Below are 21,804 nucleotides of genomic sequence, written 5' to 3' on the forward strand. Positions count from 1 at the left end.
AGGCCATGGGAGCAGTAACCATCTGATGACTGTTCTTGTGCATCTGGTGTCCAGGGACATGGGCGACGTGCCTCATCTGTGTTAGAGGGTGGAACAGATGTGTTTGGCACTGCATGGGATCTGGTGTTCCTCTTCTCCTGGATTCACATCCCCACCCAAGGCCCTCTTAAGTGTTCTGCCCTAGCCTGGTTCAAGGAGGTCATCCAACTGACTTTATCAAGTGGAATTGGGATATATTTGATATACATTTGCCTAACAACACGGAAAAGGGTTTTCCTCCTTCTTTCCCTGCAAGGGACATCCTACTGCTTTGAACGTCCAAGTATGCCTAGTCATCTTTTAAAATGTAAACGTTTTCAGAGAAATGAGGTTTGCTTTCCTTGTATGTGCTTATTATCTTGACTACCTGAATTGCGAGGGATTTTTATATATTCATATGTTCCAAAGTCAGCAACTCTCCTGTTGGTTCATTATTGAATGTGCTGTAAATGAAGTCTTTTGCAACTAAAATGAGATTTGACCACATCCAAAGAAAAAAAAATTAGAGGATGTAGTTTTCCACCAATCAGAGCAATCCAAACAAATCCAAAAGTTGAGTTTGGACTCAGTGGAAGGAGGCAGATTAGGCTTTTTTTTTTGGCTTCAGTGAGGTTCAAGAAAACTGAGTCCTCTCTTTGGTCCATGATTCTTTGGTGTTTGAGGCTAAAACCCTGGCTACTAATCAAGTGTTACTTTGACTCACTCTGCCTTTGTTTATCCTTGTTGCATCTGTCCTCCTAGAGGTAGAAGGGAGGGGGCAAGACAGAGTTGGGAATGCCTGCTTCTCTGGGCCACATGTCAACAGAGTGGTGGCCATTTCTAAACCTGAAAGATCTAAACATCATGCCTTAGCCTGGCCTAGTGTTTCTCAACAGGGTCCCACATTGGGCCAGGATAGTTTTCGTTGTTGGTATGTCCTGAGCATTGCAGGAGGTTTTGCATATGCTAGTAGAACCTGTCAGCCTTCCCACAATTCCAGATGCTTCCTGGTAGGATGGAACCTTCTCCCTCATCTTTGAGAACTAATGGATTCTTTGCGCTTACTCACCTACAACATGTCCCCCACACTGAACTTGCACCCTGCCATTTCCTAGATGTCTGCTTGGCAAGAGCTTCCAAATTACTAAATATTCTCATCTCTAGAACTTTTAATACAATGGGTTCTCAAGGAATTAAAATAAAATGCTAATATGAGAATAATTCAGAATATAACTAAATTTTAGATTATTTATAAAGCAACATGGAATCTTGTAGAAACTCAGGGACGGGCTGGGCGCGGTGGCTCATGCCTGTAATCCCAGCACTTTGGAAGAACGAGACGGGCGGATCACTTGAGGTCAGGTGTTCAAGACCAGCCTGGCCAACGTGGTGAAACCCCGTCTCTACTAAATATACAAAAATCAGCCGGGTGTGGTGGCGCAGCCTGTAATCCCAGCTACTTGGGAGGCTGAGGCAGGAGAATGGCTTGAACCCGGGAGGCGGAGGCTGCGGTGAGTTAAGATTGCACCATTGCACTCCTGCCTGGGCTACAGAGTGATCCAAAAAAAAAAAAAAAAAAAAAACTGAAAAACTCAGGGACGTTGTTATAACTTAACTAGTGTTCTTTGTTCTGTGGTGTGCTGAAAAGAGAGTTAATGGAGTCCTGGCTGTCAGTTCACCGTGAGTCATAAGAGGATGTGTCCTAATGTTTCAGATTTGTAACTGGGGATCCCCTGGAAGAATCGTCTGGAAATTACGACCTTCATCTGGCGATTGCAGCTGTTAAAGTCTCCAAAGAAGCCATTCTTACATTGTGTTGTGAAATTATTACTCTATCTCAAATCTGTGCCAGAAAGAAAATAAAATGTGTGTTTATGTGTATATTATAAGCTATGTTTTATTGAACTAATCATTACAGAACTTTTATTGGGCACCGACTGTGAGCCAGGCACTGTGCTAGTTTCTTTGAAGGCATTATTTAATTTAATGCTCACAAAACGCCTCTGTAGTGAGCAGTATTGTCATTCCCATTTTGCACGTAAGGAAGTTAAGGCTTAAGAAAGTTGTGCAGCTTCCTCAGGATCACCAAGCCAGTTAAGCACAGTGTCAGATTTCAAATCCAAACTTTGAAATTCATTCTCTAATTTCTTCAGACTACATGGATCGGTTCGGTCCAGTCTAGCTGTCCCAAGTTCTACTTTGGTGTTTTGAGTCTGAAACCCCAACTACTAATCACGTGTTACTTTTACTCGCTTTGCCTTATTTTGCATGTGTCCTTGTTGAATATGTCCTCCTCCAGGAAAAAGGGAGGTGGCAAGACAGAGGCGGCAATAGGGGTTTATTCAACAGATATTTATTGGGCACCACCACCCGCAGATCCCTGCACTGGGCAAACAGGACAGAGATGTTCCTGCCTGAAAGGATGTGTGGATAAGTGCACAAATGTGTGGATAGATGGATAAAATAAATAAGGAGGAAGCACATGGAATACATCAACAAATAAGTGAATCATGGTATGAGAGAATCAGCGGGAACAGTGGATGGCATGGGTGTGTGAGTGAATGGGGAAGTAAACGAACGAACGAACGAATGAATGAATGAAGTGGTTTTGAGTCTGAGCTACCAGAAGCCCGAGAGCCTGGCTGCGGGCGGGCGGAGGGGCGGCTACTCCACACAGTACGGTAGGCGCAGGCTGCTCCTCCTGTAACCCAGCTCTCACCGCCTCCCCCTCCTCTCCTCTCTCTCCTCCTCCTTCGCCGTCGCCGCCGCCGCCGGCCGCCCGCCGGCCGCCACGACCCCAGTCCCCGGCGGGCGGGCGGAGGAGGCGACCGCCGCGCGCTGCTGCACTCATCCTGCCGCCGCCGCGATGCGCAGAGGGGCCGAGCCGCCTGGGGGCCGCCGCCGCCGCCGCGCCGCACCATGAAGCTCCGCAGCAAGGCGGCGGCGCTGCTCTTGCTCGCGCTGGCCGCGCTGCTGCTGGCGCTGCTGTCCCTGCGCGCTGGCCGCGCTGAGCCCCCAGCGCTGCCCGCGCGCCCCGCGTCCGCCCCGCAGCGCCACCCCGCGCCTGTCCCCGCGCGCTGGCCGGGGCCGGGCGCCCTCCCCGGGGCCAGCCCGGGAGTTCGGAGGCGCCGGCCCCCGCGTCCGCGCCCCCGAGCGGGCCGCCGGGGCGCTGCGAGACTGGAGAAGTTGGCGAGGTGAGTCGTGGCAACCCCAGAATCCCATCTGCGGACCCGTGTCTCGCTCCCTACACCCGTGCCAAGTCCAAGGGAGGCTTTGCGCTGGAGAGACAGATTTCCAAGTTTCACCCACGGGCTGCCCACTTCTGTTTCTTAACCCGATAGAAAAGAAGACCCACCTTGGTGGAGTCCCCCTAACAGCTCGGTGTTGATAATCACGTACATTTTTTGAAGTGTCAAGGAAAGTGGTTTCGTACATTACATTTTTTAACTGTCAAGGCAAGGCGTATTTTTGCACTCTTGCAAACATGCACCCTTTGTTTAATTTGTCAAAAGCCATCACGGTGCAAGAATGTTTTATCTAATTCTCATGTTTCACTGGAGAATTTTACCGAAACCTTAGATATGGTTGAGTTGGAAAAGTTAGATGTTTACCAAGGACTGGCAGCCTCTCATTTAACCTCGAGTACCCCCATGCTTAGAACAGAAGGGACACTTGACCTAAGTTTATTAAAAAGAAGTTTTCTCCTTGAAAGGACTGATGCGTGGCACAGAAAAGACAGAGTGGGGGTTTCCAGATCCTCATTCTGTTTCAGGCTCGAGTGTGGTCAAAGGGTCCTCCTACAAGAAAAACAACTTAACCTTCGACCTTCTGTTTGATACTCTCTTTCCCTACACAAAGCCTAACACGCGGAGGCTTTTCATCAGAGAGCTTTATTTTTGGCCTCAGGGTTGCTGGAACGCCCCGCAGGTTAGGGATTTGAGTTCATTTCCTTTGTTGTGGAGGGCTTTTCAACAATCCCCTTGTCTTGTAGCGAGTCTGTTTCATCTGCCCTTTCAAAACTGTTGTTTCTAACTGCCATTGCAACGTCCTTGTTTGCTGGGCTCCTTAATTTCAACCTGAAAGGAGTTGAAAAATTATTTTTGACCATAATGACTAAATCTCTTTGGTGCCTTTACTGTAACTAAAAGACACGAAACCTCAAGAAGTAGCTGTGTCAGCCTTTGTTTCCCTTCTGTCTCAGTACAAATGGGTACTGACAAGTTTTAGGGGGAAAAAACCCCAACAATCTGTCGCTTTAAAGTACTTATAACACTTTACAGCCCTTTCTGGATGTATACAGTCTTTAAGGATATCTTTGTTAGGAAATTAATAGGATTTCCCCTCTTCTATACTGGAGTTTCTTGTAAGAGATTAATTAGGGTTTAACTGCAAGTTTAATATGATTGCTAAGTTTGATGGGACAACTGGTAAGATAATAATAACTGTCATCCTTAACATCGCTAACCTATTGCCAGGGACAGTGCTAACCGCAGTACATACAAATAGTCACAGTTAACACTTAACATATACAACTACATAATCCACACCATAACCTTCCCCCCCACCGCTGTTTTTCTTTTGGTTTTTTTTTTGTTTTTTTTTTTTTTTTGTGACAAAGTCTTCCTCTGTCGCCCAGGCTGGAGTGCCGTGCTGCGATCTCTGCTCACTGCAACCGCTGCCTCCCGGGTTCAGGCCTCCCAGATTCAAGTGATTCTTGTGCCTCAGCCTGCCAGGTAGCTGGCAAACAGGCGTGTGCCACCATGCCCAGCTGATTTTTGTATTTTTAGTAGAGAGACGGGGTTTCACCATATTGGCCAGGAACTCCTGAGCCCAGTGATCCATCTGCCTCAGCCTTTCCCAAAGTGCTAGGATTACAGGCGTGAGCCACCGCGCCGGGCCCAACCATAACCCTTTGACAGTGGTTCTCAAAGTGTGGACTTCAGACCAGTGGCACAGGCATCATCTGGGAACTTGTTAGAAATGCAGATTCCTGGGCCCCACCCCAACCCTACAGAATCAGAAGCTTTGGGGGGTCAGCAACCGTGTTTTAACACGTCCCTCCCATTGTTTCTCATGCACAACAAAGTTTGAGAACCTGCTCTGCAAAGTAAGCACCAATGGTATCCCCACTTTTCAGATGAGGAAAGTATTGCACAAGGGTTAGCAGTTTGTCCAAGGTTCACAGGTAACCTGGTAGAGAAGGATAAAGATCCAGGCAGTGTGGGCTCAGGTTGAGCACTTACCTGCTATGCTGATGTCAGGCCATAGACTTGCCTGCAATTCGTAATTTTACTGAGATGTCTTTTAAAGAAACACTGTAGATTTTTGGATCTGTCTCATTCTTCAAGGTGTCGAGAACAGTGGCGCAGCATCTTTTTGTGTCTATCTGAACAAAGTGTCTCTGACTAGGAGGAGATCATGAACAGAATCCAAATGGATGTTTTAGGGAAGGAGTGTTTCTATTTCCAGGAGTAACAGTACCCTTGAAGCCATTTTTCTTTTGAACATATCTCTTAGATTATCGTGGAAATTATGGCCAACACCATAGGAATACAGAACAAAATTTTAAAACTGGGGAAGGAGTAAAAAACAAAAGCCACAGGAAGTCTCAGGCTCAAATGCATAAACAGTTGACATTTTCTGGGACTTATTTATTGTTTCTCTTGCTACCTCCACAGAAATGGCAACAGAAGATTCTGAAGTTGTGAGGGAGCAGGAGGAAAGATCTCTGCTCGGTCTCCTTTATTGCTTTCCTAATTCTGCTTGGGTTAAATTTTTGTGGTTTAGGAGGAATTTCATTTAGGGAGGGAAGAGAAAGCCTCGTGTTTTCAGAAAACGAGTGCTTTAATCTCTTTACATGGCTAGAATCCAGAAGAGATGAAGGCTACGTGATCTCATTTCTCTGGCCTGGGGAGGGTCAGGCTTGTGGTTGTAGTTAGCTGAGAGCCTGGAGTTGGATGTGACACAGTCCACCACCTGCTTACCATCCACAGCCTGTGCTGCCTCGCCTCCCACAGGGGGCTGCTGTAAGTGAAATTCTGCCACGTCAACGCAGGAAACATAGCACTCTCCTTCCACATCTTGTTTTCATTTCACAGAAGTTTCCAAGGATTTGCCTCGTTAGTAGGCAGACCCTTCAATTTTGTAACTAGTCATTTGTATGCAATCTGCCCTGTGGTGGCCTCCTTCTCTATAAATATAAAGCCAAGAGGTAAGTAAGGTCTGAGCTTTTCTGTCAAGGGGGGATTTGAAAATGGACACCATTCTGGAAGCAGCAGTCCCAGTGCACAAAACAAATGAAATCTTCCTTCTATTTTGGCTTATTGGTGATTTACAGCTGGCTGACTTCCAAAAAGAGTCTAAGACAACGTATAGTAAAAGACACATATACAATAAGTCCATTGAAATGGTATAAAAAATGAAAAGTCATAAAGAAGAGGGGTAAATAAATACTGTTTGTCAAAAATAAACAGTACCTTTGTTAGTAGGATTAAGTGTTCAATTTAAGCCTGGCAGCCATTTCAAAAAGGGAACCATGATGGGCTGCCTCATTTTCACTGAACAAGAGGAAAGGTTTATCAAGAGAGATTTTTTTTTTTCATGAAACTGAATGATAAAATGAGAATTGTACTTGGGAACAGATTTTAGACATTAGAAGACTCTAGCTTGCTTCTGAAAACTCCTCCTTGAGCCTACATACAGAAAAGGAAGGTTAACTGCTAATCAGTGCAATATTGAAAAGAATTTGGCATGTGGAGTCCAGCAAATTGGGTTCTAGTCCAAAGCCATTTCACCTTATTTTCTTCATCTGTGAAATGAGCAAGTTAATCCAAAAGTTGTCTAAGATATCTTCCAGCTCAGACATTTGATGATCCTATGATGAGATCATCAAGTTTAGCAGCAAAATCCCAACAATGGTTATTGCATGGCCCTTTGTGCTAACTCTTGCAAAATCACTGTTTCTCATTTATGGGCTCCATCCTAGCGCTCTTACTGATTACTCAACCGCAACCCTGTCCTGAACTTTATTCTTTTTTTCTGTGTTGGCCTGGATATTGTTGTTTCTCTTAAAATATGGCTTCTAAGGGAGACTTAAGATACCTCTAAGCCCTGTAGTTTTCCTCTGCCATTTTATTCCATAGTCATTCAGCAAACGTGATTGCACATTTACTCTGCCAGGCACTCCTGGTACAATGGTGAATGGAGTTGCTGCCCTCCCAGAATTTGAGGGAAAGGAGACAATACAGAAACACATTACACTTGGCAGCCTCCCCAGCTGCTCCAATGAAAGGAAGCATGTGTCTCATCAAGAGGCACCATTTCCTGCAGTTCCCTTTAGTGTCTGAGATAAGTCTTCTCAGAGTGTTCAAACCTGAATAAAGGTCTCGCTAAAAAGAGATGGTGTTCTGTAGCAAAATGCTTCATCTATGGCCATCCTATAATTAGCTAATAGCCCCAGAGCACATTAAAGGTGTCTGGATCTTGAGTACCATCTATGATATTATGTAGTGTGAGTCTTGATTCTATCCACAATTCATTTTTGTTGATTGGTCCATGAATCCCCTCGATCACCCTCCACACCTACTCAGTCAGTAAGCCCTATTGGTTCTGTCTCAAAAATATGTCCCCAGTTCCACCATTTCCACTCCATAGTTACTTACTGAGCTCCTAACCACCATCATTCCCTAGCTGGACACCTGCAGGTGCCTACTCTCTGGTTTGTGTGGGTCCACTCTAGCGCCCTCTACAGTCCATTTTCCTTACGGCCGCTTCAATAATCTGATAGGTAGACCAGATGGGGTCCACCTATTTGCTGGTTAAAGCCCTCCAGTGACTGACTTCCTGTCACACTAAGAATAACTTTAAGTTTCCCAGTGTGGCCTTTGAGCCCTTGCCTGATCTCAACTCCATTTAGTTTTCTGGCCTCCTCTCCTACCACTCTCCATTCACTTGCTCTGCTTCAGCCACACTGGGCTTCAAATACACCAAGCCCATTCCTGCTTCAGCAGCATGCATCTCTCTGTGCTGGAATGTTTGTGCACATCCTAACACGGCTAACTCCTCCATTTTTTTCAGGACTATGCTCAAATGTTTTCTCCTGAGAGGGGTCCTGCTAGCCGCTCGAGTACTCCTCTCCATCACTCTCTTCTTCCTTACCCTGTGTAGTCTTTTGTTTTTCACAGCACTCATTGTGTGAATATTGTATGTTATTTGCTCCTGCCCCCTCATGTACACTTAACAGTGATCTCCTTAAATCACTGTTTCACTAACTCCTAAAACAGAGATAGATGATCTCATAGCAGATATTCAATAAATACTTGTTGAATGAACTAATGAATGGGTGCAGGACCTGCCTGTGCCAGCCGTGTTCCAAGATTTACTTATAGTATTAAGTTCCTTATTATCTAATAATATTCAAAATAGTCCCATACCCTTTCGAAGAATAGTGAGGGTCTTTAATAGTAACACCATTAAAAGAGAGGAATGTTTTTCCTTTTAAATAGGTTTTATTTTTTATTACTTTTATTATTTGGGTTTTTTTTTTTGAGATAGTGTCTCACTGTGTCACCCCAAGGGAGTGTCTAAGCCCACCATCATGATCCATGCCTTTCATAGTGTGAGCTTCTTGTATCCAGTACTAAGCCTGTCAATACATTCATTTCTCTGCCAACAGCTATTGGTCCACAGGTATGTCATATGACCCAAACTGGCCCAATCAGCCAGAAGGAAAGAACTTATTTTACATTATTAAACAAAAGACTCCATCTTCTAGATACAACCAAGGAAATAAATAGCCCCAGCTGCCACCATATTCATAAGGGAATCGCCTTTAGGATGAAGCCATCTGTTTGGGCAGTAGAAAAAGAAAATACAGGTCCTTGAGGACACTGCTGAGTCCCAGAATCAAGGCATCCTGAGGTCTAACGTTTCTTGGGCCCTGTGTTGGAGTTGAGGGTTCTGTTACTGCATCCAAAATCATCTTAGCTGAACTAGATGGTTCTTTTAAATCAAAATCTTGGGACTATTGATGGAGAGAAAGGGGAATAGTTGGGTGGGGGCACCCAGGAAGTGAGCATCCACCACACCCTAGAGCAGCCGTTATGTGCACTTGACTTTATCAAAACCTGCGGGTGACTTACCAGAGGTAGGTTCCTGAGCAAAATCAGACTTTTCTTAAGGATTTTTAAAAATTGGGATCAGAGACTATATGGTAAATGTACCTGATAGCAATAGCTTGAGCATACCCTTAGAATGACCCTGCATGCCAGCCGCACCTGAATGTGTGTTCCAACCTAGGGAATCCTGGAGTGGCCAACCCAGAGAGTCAGTCTTACATTCAGTGAGGAACATCTGAGCCCTCGTCCTGCCCCGTGGAACACGGGCTATACAGGGGATTAAGGCCTTGAGTTTTGGGTTGCATGAAGATTGCCAGGTGGAGGTTGTTGAGGGGAGGATGGCAAGTGAAAACGCTATAATATGTAAACTGCACACCTTTTGCAAACAATTGTGGTTCTTCTGCCCAGCCCTTCCCCACTGGGCTGTGCAGTCATCTTGTCCAACCCACTGCCACTGGACTGTATGTAAGGCGGTCCTCCTGCCCAGCCCATTGCCACTGGACTCTCTCCCCTGTATGGAAGCCCCCAGTAAAACGCCAGGTCTCGTTTGCTGGCTCTGGGTCTTTTCTTCAGCCTCTTGAACCTGGTGCTTTCCCCATTGAGGTTAATAGGGGTTTGGCACAACAGAGGGCTAAGGGAACAGCGTAAGGGCAAACTGTTTCTAGTGGCTGAAGCTTTACATTATGCAACTCAGGGATTGCAACTGTATTTCTGCCAGTGGAGAAGGCTGTTCTGCAATAGGAGCTCATGAAAACCAAGATGATATGGAGAGATGAGAAGTGACGCAGAGCAACCCAGATGGGGTAGGGCGGAGTGGGGTCAGGTGGGCTGGTGGCGGGGTTGGGGGGCAGCTCCCAACACTGTTCCCAAGGCCAGCTTCTTGCCTTTCACTGGCTGTGCTGTCTCAACCTTTTCTAGATTCTGTGATGTAATGAGTTCCCCTTTTTTTCTTAATCTAGTTTGACTTGCATTTGTTACTTGCTACCAGAGAGTCCTGACTAATTTGAATATGTAGCACCTGCTTTTAACACCTTTACTAAATTCAGTAAATATTGGCCATATTGACACGGTTCCTTTTAAAACTCACAGGTGAGAGTCTTTGGAAGAGAATTTGAGAACAGATTTGTTTTCCTTAGGAATACTTCATTTATAATTCACTGTAAAGAAAAAAAAGACAAAATTTTATGTTGTATGTATTTTAGCACAATTTTACAAATAATAAAAAGAAAAGAGACTTCTGTTGAAGATAGAATTCATTTATTCATTTTATGTTTCCCTTAAATATTCCCCAGCATTTATTTCAAATTATGAAGTTCCGAAAACTCCTCTTGGAAAAAGAAGTTTTTTGACATGATACCTTCATTGGGAGTTGCTGATTTTGTGCCAGAAAAGAGTAACCTTGATATATTTCAAGTGACTTTTAGATGATCCCCCATCTCTTTTAGCAACATGAGAGACTGTAATCTCATATGGTACAATTTATAATCCAAGCTTTACATAAGACAATAGAGAATACATAATCCAAAATATGGCTCTCTTTTATGAGTCAGAAAACTGAGATCCGAGAGGTGAAATAATAATGTACATAAAGCACCTAGCACAGTAGATTAGCTCATAGGAGTCACCAAATGATTTGCTGTTCTGGGTACTATTATTATCCATCATTGCATTAGGAATTGAGCCATAACTAGACCCAGCTAAGTACCCGCGTGACTTTGAACAAGTCGGTCCTCAGCAAATTGTGGCTTTCTCAGAAATAAGCTCAGTGACAAAATGAGACAATGCAGGTAAAGTGCTGACACCGAACATGCCACACCAGAAACTCCCAGCAAGTGTTAGCAAGGGCTAAGCTACAGATTCAAGGCTGGGCCTGGTGGCTCATGCCTGTAATCCCAGCACTTTGGGAGGCTGAGGCAGGAGGATTGGTTGAGCCCAGGAGTTAGAGACCACCCTAGGCAATATAGTGAGACACCCATCTCTATTTCAGTTTTATATCTTTTAAAAAAGATGCAGATTCAAGCAGCCTTTTCTTGTGGGGGTAGGTATGACTTGAGGAAACTGAGACTCAGCTTCTATATATAATAAAGGATACACCAATCTCAGTCTCCTGGTACTCATTAAAAGCTGAAGGAGTGTGGCCAGGCGCGGTGGCTTAAGACTGTAATCCCAGCACTTTGGGAGGCTGAGGCGGGCAGATCGCTTGAGATCAGGAGTTCGAGACCATCCTGGCCAATATGGTGAAACCTGGTCTCTACCAAAAATACAAAAATTAGCCGGGCATGGTGGCAGGTGCCTGTAATCCCAGCTACTCTGGAGGCTGAGGCAAGAGATATTGCTTGAACCCGGGAGGCAGAGGTTGCAGTGAGCCGAGATAGCGCCACTGCACTCCAGCCTGAGTGACAGAGTGAGACCTTGTCTCACATTAAAAAAAAAAAAATGTTTACTAGCAGTTCAAATCCGTTTTGTAGTAAGGTAGAATGTTGACACATAAAATAACATGCTTTTTGCTGCCCTGCCTAGCCTGGTTTTGGCATGGATATAACATATTTAGAGAAAAATGAAGGCTTTTGATGAATGTCATGTTAATAGTAATAATGATGATGATAACTAATATTGAATGATGACTTAAAATATGCCACGTACCTTATTAAGCACTTCACTGCATTATTTCACTTAATCTTCATAATAACCTAGGAGGTAGGAACTCATATTGGATAGGGCAGAACTCTTTCAGTTGCACGTGATAGAATACCAGCTCATCTGTTTGTATCACTTAGTCATAAAAGGGGTTTTAACTGGCTCATAAAACTGGAAAGTGCAAAGAGATAAAGCTTCAGTCGCAAGTGAAGCCAGGATTTCTAACAATCTTGCCTCCTTTTAGCTCTGCTTCCTTCTGTGTGGGTGACACTCTCAGGTAAATTTTCTCCATGTAACAATTCCCAATAGGTCTGGGTGTGCAACCTCCTCTTCTGGTAGCCCCTAAGGGAAAAATTCCATCCAGCAAAAGTCCCAGGGCTGCCTCTGTTGACCTCACTTGAATAACATGTGTTTCCAATCACCGATGGCTACAAGTGAAATGTGCTTACAGCTGGTGGGGTGAGGGGCAGCTCATTCATCCCCTCCAAGCCTCATGGACTGAGAACAGAAAAAGAGTGGTGTCCCCAAAATAAAATTAAGATGCTTTTACCAAAAAGTCCTAAAAATGGATGCCAGTAAGAAACCCCAAAACCCAAAGCAGATGTCCATTATCAGTGGTATGCCCATTTTACAGATGAGGAAACTGAGGGCTAAAGGTGGTTAAAGCACTTGCCCAAGATAGGACAGTCAAGTGGCAGGCCTAGAATTTGAAGCCAGGTCCATGTGCTTTTACAGCAAAATTGCTAACCACCATGCTGTAGCTGAGAACAAATCTCACAATTTGAACCATTTGATAGCTTTCTAGAACCTCTCTAGTTTTTTGTTAGAACCTCTCTAGTTTTTTGTAATTGTTCAGATTTGTAAGGAAAAAAGCAAGGTATGAAAATTATCCTACTTCAAGTTTAAAAGTTTTTATATATTTACATATTTATATACACACACCCACATATATTGGGTATAACTCTGGAAGACAGTATACCAAAATTTTAACAGTAGTTATGAAATTGGAATTGAGTGCCCCTCATTTTTGCTAGTGGTATTTAAAATTTTTTCTATGATATATGCACTACTTGTATATGCATTAAGCAATTTAAAGTATATAAATTACCATAAAAATTAAAAATCCCTTGATGGCCTGAGGCTTAGGAAGCTGGAAATTAGTTGGGGAGACCATTTTTCTTCGTTTCCCCCCTCTAAGCTTTAAAGTCTTTCATGTTCTTTTTCAGGAAATGAGACAGAAATGCCCCTTTGTGAAATATGTAATCCTCATCTAATTCTTCTCCCTCGTATGTCAACAGCCATTTATTTCAAACTAGCGCTGCAGATTCATATTTTAAAATCTCAATAACATGTTAATTTGGAAAGAAGAAGGAGATGGAGAAATAGAATCTCCTATATGTCAGGAACAATCATAAGGGAAAAAATGAAATGAGAATAGTCCAGGTGCCTTCATAGAATTCTGGAGGGGGAATAAATCAACACAAATGTGAATAACCTCTGCGAATGGCAGATGGGGTGGGTTAGGAAGGTAGAGTTGGCAAAGGTCTGTTGTGGAGATCGTTCCCTGCACCCGAGCACCCGGGGAGGCATGGGAGACTGAAATCCAGTCCATGCCAGGAGCCTTGCGTAGGGGCTTCATCTGCTCAGAGAGGGCTCTTTTTCTTTTCTTTTCTTTTTTTTTCAGATGGAGTTTCATTCTTGTTGCCCACGCTGGAGTGTAATGGTGCGATCTCAGCTCACTGCAACCTCCGCCTTCCGGGTTAAAGTGATTCTCCTGCCTAAGCCTCCTGAGGAGCTAGGACTACAGGCATGTGCCACCATGCCCGGCTAATTTTGTATTTTTAGTAGAGACAGGGTTTCACCATGTTGGTCAGGCTGGTCTTGAACTCCCGACCTCAGGTGATCCGCCTGCCTTGGCCTCCCAAAGTGCTGGGATTACAGACGTGAGCCACCGCGCCCGGCCAGAGAGGGCTCTTTTTCTAACTTACTTGTATGTGGTTCCAAATACAACATAAAGATTAAAGGCATGGCCTCTTAAGTCCCCCTCTCTGGGTTTGAATCCTTGCTGTGACACTTACTAGTTTTAAAGCTTATGTATGTGCACGATGATGTCTAAAAGCAAACACACACACGTATACACATAGCTGTAATTACCAACTTTAGGCTCTGAACACCTCCCATGCGTTAGACCTAGACTTTGTTTAAGAATACAGCCTCATTTCAGATATCATGAGCCAAGCTAAATATGTACTATTAATAACTAAATGCATTTATCAAATAATGTCATGAAGCCCCCTTCATGGAGTTTTTTGGCACTCTCTTGGCATTATTCATGTAACACCATGACTTCAAGGCAAATGCCAGCTCTTCTATCTTGAAAGATTTATGATATTTGATTTAACTCGAAACCATGGGTCATTAAAAGTGATTTAACTGTTAGCAAAGTCCTTAGTGTCATGTGTGGGTTCTGAGCGAAGAGTCTAATCATGACGTCAAGGGAGAAAATTTTTGTCGGGATTCATGCTTTCCAAAGCCTGTGGTTTGCAGGGAACTTTAGTAGTAACTCTCAACTGCCAACACTTGACATGGCTATAATTATCCATCGCCGGACTCTTCTTCTAGGGGCCATATCAAGGTGTTGTTTCTGCTTCCTGAACTGCCACTCTCTCCTCATTTGCAGACTTTCTCCTTGTTAAAATAGCAAAAACGGTTTCATCTTGCAAAATACTCCACTAGGGAGGGGGACATCACTAATCTATTCTTCCCATAAGGTGAGGGTATTCAGCTTCTTAAAATTCATCTTCTACCATTTTTCCCCCACATATTTCTGTTTCCTTCTGTAAGTAAAACTAGTGGCCAACAGCATGGGTTAGGGCTGTATTTGAAAGAAGTGCGATTTTCCATCCAACTTACCCTGCTAGTCTGTATGGCAGCCTCAGGTTCACCTGAGTTAATTTAGCTTGACAGTTCAGGAGAAGCGCTGATAAGAGAAGTAGCAGGAGATGGCAGAAAAGAGGGTCTGAGTAGAACCAATTACTCACTTTAATAATTCAGTGTGTTTTGCAGTAATAGGCTACAAAGTAAATAGCACTACACATAAATGCCGTATTTCATTATTTATACACTCCAGAAATTGAAGTTTAATTAAGTCGCACGTTTGAGACTTTTAAGCGATTAAGGAGACGCTTGTCTCAGGCACCCTGGAGAGGAAGCATGGAAGTTGCTTCTCCCTCCTAGGCTTCTGTGTTATTCTGAATATCATTTTTCATTTGAGCATGGGGAACACTTGAGCCAGGACAACTAGGGCAACGTTTTACAAACTTCACTCATTCCCACATGGCATCACAATTTTATTTTTTTTTTGAGACGGAGTTTCACTCTTGTTGCCCAGGCTGGAATGCAAATGGCACAATCTCGGCTCACTGCAACCTCCACCTCCCCAGTTCAAGCGATTCTCCTGCCTCAGCCTTCCAAGTAGCTGGGATTACAAGCACCCGCAACCACACCCAGCTACTTCTTTTTGTGTTTTTAGTAGAGACCAGGTTTCACCATGTTGGCCAGTCTGGTCTCAAACTCCTGACCTCAGGTGATCCACCCGCCTCGGCCTCCCAAAGTGCTGGGAATACAGGCATGAGTTACCACACCCAGCCCACAATTCTTATAATATTGCTATACTACCATTACCTGCTTTAAAAATTTTTACGACATCTATCCATGTTATAAATGTTAAGTGCATTAATGTATTTATTTATTTAATAACTTTATTGCAGTTTAACTCAAGTACATTTTAAAAGTATACAATTCGGCCCAGGTACGGTGGCTCACGCCTGTAATCCCAGCACTTTGGGAGGCCAAGGTGGGTAGATCATGAGGTCAGGAGTTCAAGACCAGCCTGGCCAACATGGTGCAACCCCATCTCTACTAAAAATACAAAAAATTGGCCGGGTATGGTGGCTCACCCCTGTAATCCCAGCACTTTGGGAGGCTGAGGTGGGCAGATCACCTGAGGTCAGGAGTTCAAGACCAGCCTGATCAATATGATGAAACCCCGTCTCTATTAAAAATACAAAAATTAGCTAGGCGTGGTGGCAGGTGCCTGTAGTCCCAGCTATTCAGGAGGCTGAGACAGGAGAATTGCTTGAACCTGGAAAGCGGAGGTTGCAGTGAGGTGAGATCATGCCACTGTACTCCAGCCTGGGTGACAGATCTAGACTCTGTCTCAAAAAAAAAAAAAAAAACAATTAGCTGGGCATTGTGGCACATGCCTGTAATCTCAGCTAGTCAGGAGGCTGAGGCAGGAGAATTGCTTGAACTGGGACCCGAGAGGCAGAGGTTGCAGTAAGCCAAGATCGCACCACTGCACTCCAGCCTGGGCTACAGAGCAAGACTCTGCATCAAAAGAAAAAAAAAAAGTATACTATTCCATCGTTTTTAGTTTATTCAAATAATTGTTCCATCATCACCATAGAATTTCAGAACATTTTCGCTTTTTTTTTTTTTTTTTTTTTTTTGAGACAGAGTCTCACTCTGTCGCCCAGGCTGGAGTGCAGTGGCATGATCTCAGCTCACTGCAAGCTCCGCCTCCTGGGTTCAAGCAATTCTCCTGCCTCAGCCACACGAGTAGCTGGGATTACAGGCATGCACCACCACACCTAGCTAATTTGTATATTTTTAGTAGAGATGGGGTTTCTCCATGTTGGTCAGGCTGGTCTCAAACTACTGACCTCAAGTGATCCGCCCGCCTCAGCCTCCCAAAGTGCTGGGATTACAGGGGTGAGCCACCGCACCCAGCCTCATTAATCTACTTCCTGTCTCTGTGGCTTTGCCTATTTTGGACTTTTCATATATGTGGAATCATAAAATATGTGGCTTTTTACATTGTCATTATGTTCACAGGTTTACTGTTTTCAAGGTTCATTTATGTTGTAGCATGCATCGTTATCATACTTGATTCCTTTTTATTGCCAAATACTATTCCATTGTATGGATATACCATATTTGATGTATCAGTTTACCAGTTGATGGACATTTAAGTTGGACTTTTTGGCTATTGGGAATAATGCTGCTATTTGAACATTTGTGTACAACCTTTTATGTGGACACATGTTTTCAATTCCTGTAGGTATATAACTAGAAAAGGAACTTCTGGGTCATATGGTACCTTCTATATTTAACATTCTCAGGAACTACCAAACTGTTTTCCAAAGTGGCTGTACCAGTTTCTAATCCCACCAGCAATGTTTGAGGATCCTAGTTTCTCCACATCCTAAGTACATTTATTTTTAAAAGAAACTTTATATCAGAAAGCCAGAAATTGTCAGTGATAACATAAATAGAAGATAATTGTCAAATCAAACACTAAGAACACTGAATGTTGTCATTTTTAGCTTGGTATTCTTTCCTGCTGAAGGTTACAGTGTCTTTTCAATTGAAAGGGAGGATTAGATAATATCAGAAAAGTGTTCAAGACATGTAAGCAGCAAGCTGAGCCGAGTGCAGTGGCTCACGCCTGTAATCCCAATACTTTGATAGGCCAAGGTGGGAGGATCATTTGAGCCCAGGAGTTCAGTCTGGGCAATATAGTGAGATCCCATCTCTACCAAAATAAATAAATAAATAAATAAAATAAATAAGAAAGGCCAGGTGCGGTGGCTCATGCCTGTACTTCCAGGCATGGTGGCTCATGCCTGTAATCCCAGCACTTTGGGAGGCCAAGGCAGGAGGATCACGAGGTCAGGAGTTTGAGACCAGCCTGGCCAAGATGATGAAACCCCATCTCTACTAAAAATACAAAAATTAGCTGGGTGTGGTGGTGGGCACCTGTAATCCCAGCTACTCGGGAGGCTGAGGCAGGAGAATCGTTTGAACCTGGGAGATAGAGTTGCAGTGAGCTGGGATCACACCATTGCACTCCAGCCTTTGCCACAGGGTGAGACTCCGTCTCAAAAAACAAAACAAAACAAAAAATAATAGGAAAATATTAAAATTCTTAAAAAGCATCAAGCTGAGACTTTATTGTTGTTGGTGTTGTTGAAAAAGCACTGAAAATGGAATAGCTTTCTCCCTGTGTGACTCAGTGTTATTTGCTGCATTGGAGTCTCAATGTTTACTAGCACCTATGCATCACCCCATTGGAATACATGGAATTAGGAGGCAATAGGTCTTACGCAAGACCATTTCCACTTACATAATACAAGTAATCCAGAGATGGCTAGGGTAGTGTTTGTTACGCTTTTTGTTTTCTTCTCATAGTCTGATGCTTTCCTTTAGAACTTGGGTAAACTTGAGAAACTATCAAAATTGCTACTTTCTTGAAAGGATCATAGATATTAACCCAGTAATTCCATTTCTGGGAATGTAAGTCTTAAGGAAAGGAGGAGAGGTGAGATTTGAGCTCAGATCCCTGGTTCCTGACCATAGCTGAACTATGGGTGGTGTGTAGTACAAGTGTGTTAATATGCAGACTCCAGGGCCTCACCCAAGACCCATGGAATCAGAATCTCTGTGAGTTGGGAGTCTGCAAAATAACAAACACTGCAGATGATTATGATGCATGGCCAGGTAGGGAATCCCCTGCCCTACATGGTGTTTGGCATCTCTTCCAGCCACAAAACTGGAAGAATGGTCAGGATTTGGGTAAGGGTCATAGCAGTGAGCAACAAGGAGGGAATGGGTTCAGTGGGCATTTCAAAGGATAAATCAGGTGAATATGAGCGAGGCAGGAAGAGTCAAAGTTGATTGGGAACATCTTTTTAGGACCTTCGTTACGACTCTTATTTTGATTGCTAAGTTGTAAGTTTGTTTCAAATTGGTTTAAGCAAAAGGGAGTTTATTGGCTTAATAACTAAACTACCTAAGATTAGGGTCAGATGCACCTAGATCCAGGTGGTATCACCAGAGATCTGCCCTGCCATCATCTGACTCTGCTTTTCCACTGTGATAAGCTGACTCCTGTTCAGGCTGTACCAGCATGGTTACCAGGATCGTTGCCATCAGCCCCTGCCTTAGCAACAGGTCCTTAAAATTCCTGGACAGCAAATGTTCACTCCAGTCCCCTTTTATAAAGTAAAAATAAGAACGTTATTAACCATCAGTCACAGCAGTGCTAGAATTCCCTATCACCCATTCCCTGCCCAATCCTAGTCATTCAAGGGGTTAAGAAGTCCTAGGTCCCTAGACTGCACTCCTCCCCTGGATCCTCACAATCTTGATTGACATTTGAGAGTGCCATCAGTAGGAGCTGGTGAAAGGCACACCGTGCCAGTGCCCTTAAACTTTATTATGCATTGTGACTGCACAGCACTAACACTGATTACCTAAAGCCTGAGATTTTTCATGTAATGTGAGAAGTAATAGGGTGAGGCCAGCAAAGGTCTCATTAAATCCCAACCACTGATACTTGAACTGGCACCAGGAGAGGTTTTATTTTTCTTTAGTACCTGTCACCAGACACTGTGAATGATTGTCGTCCCTAGCCCCTGCTTTTTGTACTGTGCAGACCCAAATCACTGAAGCCTGCAAAGAAGAGAAGAGGTGGCCTGCTGTCTTGCAGAACAGTGCATGCTTTTTTTTTAATTAAAAAAAAAAAAAGTCAAATGGTTTGGGGCCACAAAAAATATAGATAATAACAAAATGAAGTGCCCACCACTTGGCTTAAGGAATAAGATTTTAATCAGAAATAACCACTATCCGGCCAGGCATGGTGGCTCACCCCTGTAATCCCAGCAATTTGGGAGGCCAAGGTGGGCGGATCACTTGAGGCGAGGCATTCGAGACCAGCCTGGCAAAACCCCATCTCTACTAAAGATACAAAAAAAAAAAAAAAAAAAAATTAACCAGGTGTGATGGCCTTCGGTTTGTAGTCCCAGCTACTTGGGAGGCTGAGGCATGAGAATTGCTTGAGCCTGGGAAATGGAGGTTGCAGTGAGCTGAGGTTGCAGTGAGCTGAAATTGCACCACTGCACTCCAGCCTGGGCAACAGAGTGAGATTCTGTCTCAAAAAAAAAAAAAAAAAAAAAAAAGGAAAGAAAAGAAAAAGAAAATAACCACTGTCCTGCATTTGTTTTCTTTGAGACAGAGTCTCACTCTCACCCAGGCTGGAGTGCAGTGGCACGATCTCAGCTCATTGTAACCTCAGTCTCCCAGGTTCAAGCAATTCTCCTGCCTCAGCCTCCCAAGTAGCTGGGATTACAGGCACACGCCACCACAACCAGCTAATTTTTGTATTTTTAGTAGAGACGAGGTTTCATCATGATGGCCAGGCTGGTCTCGAACTCCTGACCTCAAGTGGTCTGCCCGCCTCGAACTCCTGCTGGGATTATAGGCATGAGCCACCGCACTGGCCTGTTGTTTTTCATTCTCTTTGGCCTTACGTTGGTACATGCCAGTCTGGTTTATTTTTTTTCACTGCTATATGGTATTCACTTTAAAAACATAGCAAATATATTCACTTTTCTCCTTTGCATAGTCACTGAAGTTTATTTCCTATTTTTCATTTTCAATAAACAGAGCTGCTGTGAACATTCTTGCATAGGTCTTGTGCAAATGTGCAAGAGTTTCTTCAGGTTATATATGCAGGAGTTGGACTGCGGGGGTGGAAGGTGTACATCCATCTTCACCTGTGCTCTATGTTGCCAAATGGCTCTCCAAAGTGTTCAGTCCAACTTACACTGCCCCCACCAGCGCCTGAGCTGTTCCCTGCCCCATATCCACATGAAAGCTCAATATGGTGCAGCTTCTATTTTACTTTGTAGTTTTTGCCAATCTGAAAATAAAAATAAATCTCTTTATTATTTGGATTTGTACTTCCCTGATTACTAAGATTAAAACTTGTTATCCTTGGCAGAAGCCCAATATGTAAAGCTAAACTAGATGGAGTCATTCTGTTTGGGGGCAGGTGAGGGTATTCATATTTAAGATATCTAAGTGATTGCCTTTATGGTGTTAGTCCATTTGAATCATATGCATATCCCTAAATATTGGGCATAATTTTTCGTAGTGTATTTCAGCTAGTGTCTTGACTGATTTTTAGAAATTGACTGTCATTTTAGCATTATCTTTAACATCTCCACATCCCTTTACATGTGACTTGGGAGTTGACTTAAATAGCAAACATGAAAACCCAACCATGAAGCCAAGGAAGAGACCAGGCCTGTGAGTCTTGCAGGCGGGGGTCCTCACTTTGTTCAGGAAGATCCCTGATTTAGTGCCTTTGTTCTGCTGTCCCCTCTGCGTGGCATGCTCCTCCCCCTAGACGTGCACATGGCTCGCTACCTCCCCTCCTGCAGGTCATTTGCAGAGCTCACCTTAGTGCGGCCTTTTCCAACTTGGCACTGTAGGGAATATACTGCCCCAGCCCGCCAGCCACTCCTGGCACCCCCATCCTGCTTCACTATGTATTACCTTCATAGTACTTATTACTGTCTAGCTTTCTATATAAATTATTTAGTTACCATCCACTTTGACTCTTACTTATTTTTGTGTTTCCCTTATTCCCTGCAGAACGTAAGTTCTTCCAGTGCAGGCGTCTTTGTTTTGTTCACTGTCTTCCTAGAATAATGCCTACACATAACAGTACTTAGTAAAGATTTGTTGATTAATAAATGGTCTGAAGTTAGCAAGGAAAAGAGGGCAAAGAAGAGCATTTCTGAAATAAAGAGAGACAGGCAATGTATGTGCCAAGACCTGGAGCCAACACAGTGTGGTCACCTGCACTGGAAGTGAAACAGAATATGACTATGATTATGAATGGCCGTCTCTCCAGGTTGGAGTGCTGTGGGCAGTTGTGAGAGATACAAGTAGGAGCCATAGTCAGCAGCTTGGACTTGATCTTGGGGACAGCGGGGAGCCCTTGCATGATTTTAATCAAGAGAATAACACAATCCTATTTGCACTTTAGAGAAACATCACCCTGGCACCAACCAGGAGAAAGCATAGGCTGGGGGTTAAAGATAAGATTGGAGACAGGTGGACCACCCAGAGGGCTGTCTCAGTGATCCAAGGGAAGGCAGATGGTGGCCTCACCAGATAATGG

The 21,804-nt window shown here is 43.8% G+C and overlaps 1 protein-coding gene across 2 annotated transcripts in view, besides 2 other annotated features; it reads left to right on the forward strand.

The window, feature by feature from the left end:
- GXYLT2 (glucoside xylosyltransferase 2) overlaps positions 2,750–21,804 on the forward strand; it is an 88,870-nt gene continuing 69,815 nt past the window's right edge. For both annotated transcript variants that reach the window (NR_138564.2, NM_001080393.2), the window contains exon 1: positions 2,750–3,212. Coding sequence is in view for 1 of the 2 variants with exons in the window: in NM_001080393.2 (NP_001073862.1) it covers positions 2,938–3,212 (275 nt within the window). In the remaining variant the exon portion in view is untranslated. The remainder of the gene's footprint in view (positions 3,213–21,804) is intronic.
- Positions 2,790–3,019: a silencer, noted in NCBI's record as "silent region_14531". NCBI's record gives its function as "represses an Ori minimal core promoter by ATAC-STARR-seq in GM12878 lymphoblastoid cells {active_cell/tissue: GM12878}" and the evidence as "EXISTENCE:reporter gene assay evidence [ECO:0000049][PMID:35858748]".
- Positions 3,120–3,249: a silencer, noted in NCBI's record as "silent region_14532". NCBI's record gives its function as "represses an Ori minimal core promoter by ATAC-STARR-seq in GM12878 lymphoblastoid cells {active_cell/tissue: GM12878}" and the evidence as "EXISTENCE:reporter gene assay evidence [ECO:0000049][PMID:35858748]".

Source organism: Homo sapiens, chromosome 3 (genome assembly GCF_000001405.40).
Source record: "Homo sapiens chromosome 3, GRCh38.p14 Primary Assembly".
NCBI classification, from domain to species: domain Eukaryota; kingdom Metazoa; phylum Chordata; class Mammalia; order Primates; family Hominidae; genus Homo; species Homo sapiens.